Source organism: Homo sapiens, chromosome 2, assembly GCF_000001405.40.
Source record: "Homo sapiens chromosome 2, GRCh38.p14 Primary Assembly".
In the NCBI taxonomy this organism is placed as follows: Eukaryota; Metazoa; Chordata; class Mammalia; order Primates; family Hominidae; genus Homo; species Homo sapiens.
Window position 1 is genome coordinate 218,622,457 of NC_000002.12, and position 10,872 is coordinate 218,633,328.

Sequence of the window (10,872 nt, forward strand, 5' to 3'; positions counted from 1 at the left end):
TCATAACATTTCCCATTCTCCATGATGTGCTTATTTCACATTGCATGCCTATATCAAAACATCTAATTTACTGTATAAATATATACACCTACTATGTACCCAGAAAAATTTAAAAAAAAATTTTTTTAATTAAAAAGATAACATTTCCCATTAAAAGTTTCATTCACTCTCCCCTAAACCTCTCTTGCAGGCAGCAGACACGTCCCAGTCTGGAACCCTGGAAGGAGAAGAATTCGTACAGTTCTATAAGGCATTGACTAAACGTGCTGAGGTGCAGGAACTGTTTGAAAGTTTTTCAGCTGATGGGCAGAAGCTGACTCTGCTGGAATTTTTGGATTTCCTCCAAGAGGAGCAGAAGGAGAGAGACTGCACCTCTGAGCTTGCTCTGGAACTCATTGACCGCTATGAACCTTCAGACAGTGGTAAGAGAAATCAGGTGGAGAGGCACCAGACATAGGGGTTGGAGAGAGGGACATGATTACAAGGTCCAGAGACAAGCAGCCATCTGCCTGAGAGAAGGTTGAGTCTATCCCTATCCTGACCCCTGCCCAATCATCTCATTTAACCACTCCTCCCAAAGGAGGGCAGGCATTTCCTGTTCAGACAAGACAGGGGTTTCCTCTGAGGTGCTAGACCTCTCAGGAGGAAGAAGATTCCATGGCTCCTCATTCCTCCATTATGCTCATGTTTCCTTTACTTTCAGGAAGTTCTTTCTGATACCAGCTTTGCCCTCGCTGGAAACGGAAAACCCTTGATCCTCTTTCTTTGGCCTCTTCTCTAGTGCAAATGATTCCTTTTCCTCTGGTTCTTCTTCCATGGTTCCTGTTTGCTATTCCTTTAAATGCTGGCTCGCTGCCCTTTCCTGAGTTGTCTTCAATTCAAGTGGCTCTCTTGAGTCTCTAAGCCCCTGAACCAGAAAGCCAGTTAGCCCCTGGCTGGGGGAATAAGGAGGCCAGTTATTTAGCTTTTAAGGAGTGCAGCTGAAATATACGCTCTTGTTCTTCAAAGTTTCTTCCTCTTGCCTCTTCAGTAGACTCATTTCCTGCCCTCCATTCCCTTCGGAGTGTGAGAAATTTACATTAATAATAAATACTTTACAAGGAACTTTCACGTTCCTCATTTCATTTAGTCCTCAGTACAACTTTGCAAATCAACAGTAATCTTTATTGGCCCTTTACTACATATCCCATAATGCTCTAATATCTCTATGTACCTTTTCCTTTTTCTATTTTTTTGTTTTTTTGAGACAGAGTTTTGCTCTTATTGCCCAGACTGGAGTGCAATGGCACGATCTCGGCCCACCACAACCTCTGCCTCCCGGGTTCAAGCAATTCTCCTGCCTTAGCCTCCCGAGTAGCTGGGATTACAGGCATGCGCCACCACGCCCGGCTAATTTTGTATTTTTAGTAGAGGATGGGGTTTCACCATGTTGGTCAGGCTGGTCTCGAACTCCCGACCTCAGGTGATCCACCCGCCTCAACCTCCCAAAGTGCTGGGATTACAGGCATGAGCCACTGTGCCTGGCATCTACGTACCTTTTCTAATACAATGACCTGTTGAAATGGGTCCTGTTATTAAGTCAGTTGTATAAAAGAGGAAAACTGAGGTTTAGAAAGATTCAATGACTTGCTCAAAGTCAACAGCTAATGAGAGAGGAACTGAGATTCAAACCCAGGTCATCTGACTCTTAGTTGGTGCCTCTCTTGAGAATGAGGATAAGAGATGGGATGAATGAGAGCTGGACAAGTGATCAAGGTATTCTGGGTCTAAACTCTTACTCCCTTTCATTCATTCATTTATTCACTACTTCAATGAATGCTTATTGAGTTCCTATAATGTGTCAGGACCTATGCTAGGCACCAGACATACATTAGTGCCTAGATCAGACAAGGACACTGCCCTCATGAAACTTAGAGTCAAACAGAAAACATTACAATCTGTTATTTCAGATTTGTTTGGGTGTTCAGAATAGAGTAGAGGTTGTAGGCTGAGTGCAGTGGCTCACGCCTGTAATCCCAGCACTTTGGGAGACCGGGCAGATAACCTGAGGCCAGGAGTTCGAGACCAACCTGGCCAACATGGTAAAACTCTGTCTCTACTAAAAATATAAAAATTAGCCAGGCATGGTGGTGCACGCTTGTAATTCCAGCTACTTAAGGAGGCTGAGGCATAAGAATCGCTTGAACTCGGGAGGTGGAGGCTGTAGTAAGCCGAGATCACACCACTGCACTCCAGCCTGGGTGACATGGTGAGACTCTGTCTCAAAAAAAAAAAAAAAGAAAAGAAAAGAAAAAAAAGAATGGAGGTTGTAAAGCAATCATTTCAGAAAATGAAATCGAAGAGAGTTAAAAGTTTAAGAGATAGAATCTCTAGGCCGGGCGCTGTGGCTCATGCTTGGAATCCCAGCACTTTGGGAGGCCGAGGCAGGAGGATCACCTGAGGTCAGGAGTTTGAGAACAGCCTGGCCTACGTGGTGAAACCCCATCTCCACTAAAAACACAAAAAATTAGCCGGGTATGGTGGCAGGAGCCTGTAATCCCAGTTACTCGGGAGGCTGAGACAGGAGAATTGCTTGAACCTGGGAGGCAGAGGTTGCAGCAGTGAGCTGAGATTGCACCACTGCACTCCAGCCTGGGCGACAGACCAAGACTCTGTTTCAAAAAAAAAAAAAAAAAAGAAAGAAAGAAAGAAAAAAGAAATAGGATCTTTTGTTACCTGTGCAGAATCCAGTAAACATCAGTCCAAGACTCTGTTTCAAAAAAAAAAAGCAAGAAAGAAAAGAGAAATAGGATCTTTTGTTACCTGTGCAGGATCCAGTAAACATCAGTCCAAGACTCTGTTTCAAACAAAAAAAAAAGAAAGAAAAAAGAAATAGGATCTTTTGTTACCTGTGCAGAATCCAGTAAACATCAGTTACATTTGTTTCGACCCCGACCCCTCTTGGTGTTTCCTTCCCTTGAACTTGACAATCAGATACTTTATCTGGCTACAGAGAGTAGTATCAGTCAAAAAACCTGGGCTCAGGTCTCCACTGTGTTTCTTATTAACTGATAACTGTGAGCAAGTCACTTAACCTAACTAACTCAGTTTCCTCATTTGTAAAATAATTGATAAAATGAAATAATGCACATGAAAAGTATCTGGCAACTGCAAATTTACCTGAGTGATTTATTACTGTCAAGAATGAAACTTTCTGGCCGGGCACAATGGCTCATGCCTGTAATCCCAGCACTTTGGGAGGCCAAGGCAGGCGGATCACTTAAGTTCAGGAGTTCGAGACCAGCCTGGCCAACATGGTGAAACCCCTTCTCTACTAAAAATATAAAAATTAGCTGGGTATGGTGGCGGGCACCTGTAATTTGAGCTACTTGGGTGCCTGAGGCAGGAGAATCGATTGAACCCGGGAGGCGGAGGTTGCAGTGAGTGGAAATCGAACCACAGCACTCCAATCTGGGTGACAGAGCGAGACTCCATCTCAAAAACAAACCAACCAACCAACAAACAAACAAAAAGAATGAAACTTCCACCAGGTATGGTAGCTCATGCCTATAATATGGGAGGGTGAGGCAGGAGGACTGCTTGAGTTCAGGAGTTCAAGACCAGCCTGGGCAACACAGTGAGACCCCATCTCTAAAAATAAAAAAATAAAAAAAATAACCAGGCTTGGTGGCACATTCCTGTAGTCCCAGCTACTTGAGAGGCTGAGGTGAGAGGATTGCTTGAGCCTGGAGGGCAAGGCTGCAGTGAGTTGTGATTGTGCCACTGTATCCAGCCTGGGTGACAGAGTGAGACTCTGTCTCCCAAAAAAAAAAAAAAAAGGAAACTTCCTGCCCAACTTCCTGTCCTTCTTCACAATCTCCAGGCCTTGTGAAACCTGGAGCAAGGAAGCTGGCCATGAGAGTCATGTTGTTCCACCTTCCAGGCGAGCCTCCTTGTAGCAACATTATTCTCAGTGAGACTGCACAGCCCAGTGGTGCAGGGCATGGCTCTGACACCTGGCGGCCTGGGTTCAAATCCCAGCTTCTACAGTTACTGATTATGAGACCTGGAGCAAGTTACCTAACCTCTCATGGCAGATTATATTACATCTACTTCATCACGTTACTGAGAACATGAGTGAGATGCTGCGTGGAATGCCCTGGGCATAGAGTGAGTGCTTGATAACTGTTAGTCATTGTTGTTGTTGTTGTATAAAGCCCATACTGAGATTGGAGGGAGCTATGGAAGGACTAACAGGGCCCTTTTCTCAATGGGAGTGTAGTCTAAGGAGATGTTGACAAATGATCCTCAAAACATCATATGGGAACATGGACAGTAAGAAGAAACCCTCAGGCCATAGTTAGTCACAGGTACACAGCCCAAGGAAGAAAATACAGGTAACTTGGCCATGTCACTAAGCCTTTGACTTTGATTCTCTCTGGGCCTCAGTTTCCTCATCTATAAAATTAGCCCTTTGGATGTTGTCCATTATAGTAACTGTGAGCTCCATTTGGCTATTTAAAATTAAATTAACTAGGTCGGGCACGGTGGCTCACGCCTGTAATCCCTGCACTTTGGGAGGCCAAGGCAGGCGGATCACGAGGTCAGGAGATGGAGACCATCCTGGCTAACACGGTGAAACCCTGTCTCTACTAAAAATACAAAGAAAAAAAAAAAGAGCCGGGTGTAGTGGGGGGCGCCTGTAGTCCCAGCTACTCGGGAGCCTGAGGCAGGAGAATGGCGTGAAACCAGGAGGCGGAGCTTGCAGTGAGCAGAGATCCTGCCACTGCACTCCAGCCTGGGAGACGGAGTGAGACTCTGTCTCAAAAATAAATAAATAAATAAATTAAATTAAATTAACTAAAATCTAATAAAATTTAAAACTTAGTTCTTCAGTTACACAAGCCACATTTCAAGTGCTCAGTAGCCACATGTGGCTAGAGGCTACTATATATGACACTGCAGAATAAAACGTTTTTCTCTTTAGTACTATAGCATAAAAAAAGACCAAAAAAAAGTTAAAAAAAAAAAGACATTTATCTCATCATAGGAAGTTCTATTGGATAGCACTGGACTCAAATGAACTTTTTTTTTTGAGACGGAGTCTCACTCTGTCCCCCAGGCTGGAGTGCAGTGGCGCGATCTGGGCTCACTGCAAGCTCTGCCTCCCGGGTTCACGCCATTCTCCTGCCTCAGCCTCCCGAGTAGCTGGGACTACAGGCGCCCACCACCGTGCCCGGCTAATTTTTTGTATTTTTAGTAGAGATGGGGTTTCACCGTGTTAGACAGGGTGGTCTCGATCTCCTGACCTCGTGATCTGCCCGTCTCAGCCTCCCAAAGTACTGGGATTACAGGCGTGAGGCACCGCGCCCAGCCTTGAATGATCTTAATGATTCCTTTTAACATTCTTTGAGGGTGGGAATGATTGAAATGATACACACTAGGTGGGGCAAGTTTGGGATCTAAAGGCTGGGAATGGGTGCCATCTGAAAGGCAGGGCTCTGGATGGAGTGGGAGGAAGGATGGACTGTAGGTGTGCTGGGATGCTCCCATTCAGAGCTTCTCACCTAGTGTTCCCCTGTCCACACTCCAGGCAAACTGCGGCATGTGCTGAGTATGGATGGCTTCCTCAGCTACCTCTGCTCTAAGGATGGAGACATCTTCAACCCAGCCTGCCTCCCCATCTATCAGGATATGACTCAACCCCTGAACCACTACTTCATCTGCTCTTCTCATAACACCTACCTAGTGGGGGACCAGCTTTGTGGCCAGAGCAGCGTCGAGGGATATATACGGTGCAGTGGTGGTAGAGAAGGGGTCCAACTCATGAGAGGGACCATGTAGAAAAGTGAGGGGAGCTGTCAGTGTCTAACAGATTGGGACAGTGTTGTGGGGGTTTAGGGGCTGAGGAGCCCTGGATACCAGAGACACTTGGAGGAGATATTGAAGACTGGTGGGAGAATGGTAATGAAACCCTATGGGTCAATGGAACTTCTCTTTCACAAGCTATGAAACTCTCCTGGAACTCAGAGGCCCTGACAGATTTATATTTAACAAATTAATAAACAGATTGTTAAATGGAAGGCAATAGAGAATAGGAGTTAAAAATATAGGTTCTGGAGTCAGACCATCTGAAATTATATCCTAGCTCCTTCACTTGGTACTCTGGGGCTAAGTATTTAACTTCTATACCTCAGTCTCCCCATCTGTGAAACAGGGATGGTAACAGTGCCTATTCTGTCTGGGTTGTTGTGAAGAGATAATTCATATGTCAATAGCTAATAAGCAGTTCTGATTTTATTGTGACTAATCATGGATTAGATTGAATAGTCAAGATATCTTTCTATTACCAGCAACTGAACTAGTAGCTTCAAGGGATACAAAGATGAGTGGAACATATAGTTTCCACCTTAGGAAGTCTAGCTGAGGAATTAAGGTGTAAATTTACTGACAGTTTGAATAACCAGGATGTTGTATAGGGATATAAAGCCAGAACACCACTGGACACAATGGCTTATGCCTGTAATTCCAGCACTTTGGGAGGCCGAGGCAGGGAGATCGCTTGAGCCCAAGAGTTCGAGACCAGGCTGGGCAACATAGTGAGAGCCCGTCTCCACAAAAAATGCAAAAATTAGCCAGGCATGGTGATGTGTGCTTTTAGTACCAGCTACTCGGGAGGCTGAGGTGGGAGGATCGCTTAAGCCTGAGAGGTCAAGGCTGCAGTGAGCCATGTTCACACCACTGCACTCTAGCCTGGGTGACAGATTTAGACCCTGTCTCAAAAAAATAAAAGTAAATATAAATAAATAAGTAAAACCAGAACACCAGATGCATCATGAGGCAATGTGTGATGGATTGCTATGGAAGGACTGTGAGTCGGGTGGGCTGAAGTATGGGTAGAGATCAGCGTGAGCTTGCAGCAGTGTCCCCATGGATGGAGAAGGCTCTATGCAGATGTAGCTTGAAGGGGTCTGGATGGGTAAGTGCTGGTGAGCACTGTTCTCTCCAGAGTGGGGAGAGTCCCTAGGTAGAAGATCAGATATTGACCTCTCCTATTTCTCGGTGGGGATGGGGTTCTTTCAGGGCCCTGAAGCGGGGGTGCCGCTGCGTGGAGGTGGATGTATGGGATGGACCTAGCGGGGAACCTGTCGTTTACCACGGACACACCCTGACCTCCCGCATCCTGTTCAAAGATGTCGTGGCCACAGTAGCACAGTATGCCTTCCAGGTAGTAGCCCCAGGATGGGGACACTGGTGAGGCCAGAAGGTCTGAGGGAAGAACGACTGGCTCTGGGTCTGGGGAGGGTGGAGGAGTACAGGGGAAGTTCCATCAAAAGAGGATTTAACTGTAAAGCATCAGGCAAATACTAAAGGCTGATTATGAATAAGTGTTGGACATGTTACTAATAATTAGTAGTTATGGAGGTAATTACTTATGGTTAGAAACTATTACTTCTTCAGGCCAGGTGTGGTGGCTCATGCCTGTAATCCCAGCACTCTGGGAGGCCGAGGCGGGTGGATCACCTGAGGTTGGGAGTTTGAGACTAACCTGACCAACATGGAGAAACCCCGTCTCTATTAAAAATAGAAAATTAGCTGGGCGTGGTAGTGCATGCCTGTAATCCCAGCTACTTGGGTGGCTGAAGCAGGACAATCCTTTGAACCCAGGAGGCAGAGGTTTGCAGTGAGCCGAGATCGCACCAGTGCACTCCAGCCTGGGCAGCAAGAGTGAAACTCCATCTCAAAAAACAAAACAAAACAAAAAACTATTACTTCTAACAAGTTCTATCACCCTTCTGGAAGAGGTGGATAGGAAACACAGAGATAGTGGTGAGTAGGGCTGATGAACAATGGGAATCTGGAGGATGAAAGCATGAGAGTGCAACATGAACACATAACCAGGGAATGTGGCCTGGCCTTCCCACTAAGAGCCTGAAAACTCAAAGGTCCCAGAGGGGCCTGGGTCAGACTTGGCACAGGTATGAGATTTAGGATCCCAAGATGTGAATATGTCTTTAGATGTGGGCAGTGTCGCAGGCATGGGCCTCAGACCCAGCAAGATCTCACTGAATCCTATAATGGAGTTGGAAGAGTTTAGTGATCAGGGTACTCATCTGAGTGAGTAAGTAGGGAGGCCTAGGAAGCGGGTACTTGAAGAAGTAGGTTGCAGTGTTTTAGAACTCTGAATCCATTGTTCCCTCCCCTCACCACCAGACATCAGACTACCCAGTCATCTTGTCCCTGGAGACCCACTGCAGCTGGGAGCAGCAGCAGACCATGGCCCGTCATCTGACTGAGATCCTGGGGGAGCAGCTGCTGAGCACCACCTTGGATGGGGTGCTGCCCACTCAGCTGCCCTCGCCTGAGGTAGGGACACTGTTCCTCCAGCCCAGGCTCTGCTGTGGCTTCTGGATTCCGCCACCTGGGCTCCTTCCTCTATGCCCCTCTTTGTTCCCTTCTTTCTATCCTCGGATGGACCATCTTGCTCTTTAATGTCCTTGGATCCTTGGAGACAATTTTAACTTAAACAAAATCTAACTGAACACAGAATTCTATTTATAGCTCTCTAAGTTTTAAATCAACAATTTACATTATTTCTTTTCTCAGTGGAAGTATCTTGATTTTTTTCTGGTAGTTCATAGTTGTTGTGGACTATACAAACAATATAAAGGGAAATCTCCCCTCCTATCATAATCCCAACCTCTCCCATAACAAGCAGCTATCGATAGATTTTTTTGTTTTTTTTGAGACAGAGTTTCGCTCTTGTCGCCCAGGCTGGAGTGCAATGGTGCGATCTCAGCTCACTACAACCTCTGCCTCCCGGGTTCAAGCGATTCTCCTGCCTCAGCCTCCTGAGTAGCTTGGATTATAGGTGTGCACCACCACACCTGGCTAGTTTTTGTATTTTAGTAGAGATGAGATTTCACTATGTTAGCCAGGCTGGTCTTGAATCCCTGACCTCACGTGATCCACCCTCCTCAGCCTCCCAAAGTGCTGTGATTACAGGCGTGAGCTACTGCGCCTGGCCCTGAGTTTTCAAGTTATGTTTCTAAAGGCTTTCCCACGGTAAGATTATTCAGGCCAGGCACGTTGGTTCATGCCTCTAATCCCAGCACTTTGGGAGGCTGAGGCAGGTGGATCATGAAGTCAGGTGTTCAAGACTAGCCTGGCCAACATAGTGAAAACCCATCTCTACTAAAAATACAAATTAGCTGGGCATGATGGTGGGCACCTGTAATCCCAGCTACTTGGGAAGCTGAGGCAGGAGAATTGCTTGAACCTGGAAGGTGGTGGTGCAGTGAGCTGAGATTGCGCCACTGCACTCCAGCCCGGGCGACAGTGCGAGACTCCGTCTCAAAAAAAAAAAAAAAAGGATTATTCAAAAAGGTTCTCTATTTCCTTCTTGTATTCTTATGTTCTTTATATTGACATGTAAATCTCTAATCTATAACGAGTATTTACTGTGTCAAATGTGTGGCAGGAGACCATATATATTATTTTCCATATGGATAGAGATATTAAAAGTTTGCTTAACAATATGGGAATTCCAATTGTATGTATCAAGCAGCTAATCTCTTCCCTCGGGAACTTCCGACCACTCACTCACTTCCTCTGCCTTTGAGAACAATGAGACTGGCATGATTCCCAGAAGGACCCAAGAGCAGACAGGTAGACAGGCCCCTTCATTTTTGTCCCCTAGGAGCTTCGGAGGAAGATCCTGGTGAAGGGGAAGAAGTTAACACTTGAGGAAGACCTGGAATATGAGGAAGAGGAAGCAGAACCTGAGTTGGAAGAGTCAGAATTGGCGCTGGAGTCCCAGTTTGAGACTGAGCCTGAGCCCCAGGAGCAGAACCTTCAGAATAAGGACAAAAAGAAGGTAAGCCAGGAGTGGTCTTTCTGCTGTGGTATTTAGTCAACTTATGCAAGCTGAAGGCCTGTTCATGAAGACTAGAGCCGTGCAAGATGCAGGGCCAAGGAGCAATGACCCTTCCTCCCAATGAAGGAGATTTAAGACCGCATACATGGCATCAATATATATTATATACTGCCATATGTAGGTATGTTGCAGTGGCTTTCCAACTTCTTTGGGCCACATCTTTTTTTTTAAAATGAAATCTTACGCAAAATAGATAAACGCAGAACCATCCTAGTTGAAGCACCCATTTGGCTCTCTCCTGGGTGCCCTAGTGACTCCTGAGACATTTTTGTACTTCTTGGTCTTCTTAAAGGCCAGCTTGAAAACCAGTGATGAGCGGGTGTGTGTTTGTATGTGTAACATTATTATATTGGGTAAGTAGGGGTTACTGGAATGATTGTTGTGATCTCAACCAAAGTGGGCATAGAGAAAGCTTTTTGGAAAGGATGAGTTTTAGGAAGGGCCAGCAGTAGCCAGAGGAGCAGGAAGGAGAGCATTTTGAGGTGGGGAACGTGAAGGCTCTGAGAAGGCTGTGCTAGAGTGGTCCATCTCCCTATGGGGAAGGGAGGCAGAGGGAGAAGGGATGCCATTGGTGGGGCCTCCAAGATCCTGGTTTGAAGTCTGCCTTTCTCTTGTGTACTTGCGTGGCTCACTCAGCTGACTGACTCCTAGCTTATCCTGTGCTTTCTGGGGCTGTGGTGTCTAACCTGCTGCCATGTCCAGGGATGGAAATGGGAATTCAGGAGACAAATCCAAAGATATTACTCTGGGACTCTCACATCCTTCCAGGTGTGACTTACATGACCATTTGCATACCTTGACATATCTGTCTGGATTCATGTACATTTTGACCAAAGGTTATTGTTCCTTTGTTTTAAATGAGAGGGAGGGAGGATAATGCCTCTCTGTTTAAATATAATAATAAATTTAAAACCTGTCACCCAGGATATAACATAGAGCAAACACAAGCCCAGAGG

At 45.9% G+C, this 10,872-nt stretch overlaps 1 protein-coding gene and 1 pseudogene across 10 annotated transcripts in view; both read left to right on the forward strand.

Moving 5' to 3' along the window:
* Positions 1-10,872, forward strand: part of PLCD4 (phospholipase C delta 4) — a 29,277-nt gene that overhangs the window by 14,558 nt on the left and 3,847 nt on the right. For 9 of the 10 annotated variants that reach the window (XM_047446072.1, XM_047446075.1, XM_047446076.1 and 6 more), the window contains exons 6-10: positions 191-422; positions 5,573-5,774; positions 7,063-7,207; positions 8,194-8,346; positions 9,680-9,856. In XM_047446072.1, the coding sequence (XP_047302028.1) occupies positions 191-422; positions 5,573-5,774; positions 7,063-7,207; positions 8,194-8,346; positions 9,680-9,856 (909 nt within the window). The remainder of the gene's footprint in view (positions 1-190; positions 423-5,572; positions 5,775-7,062; positions 7,208-8,193; positions 8,347-9,679; positions 9,857-10,872) is intronic. The other variant, XM_047446077.1, reaches the window with a different exon arrangement.
* On the forward strand, positions 3,953-4,028 carry TRQ-CTG16-1 (tRNA-Gln (anticodon CTG) 16-1; annotated as a pseudogene).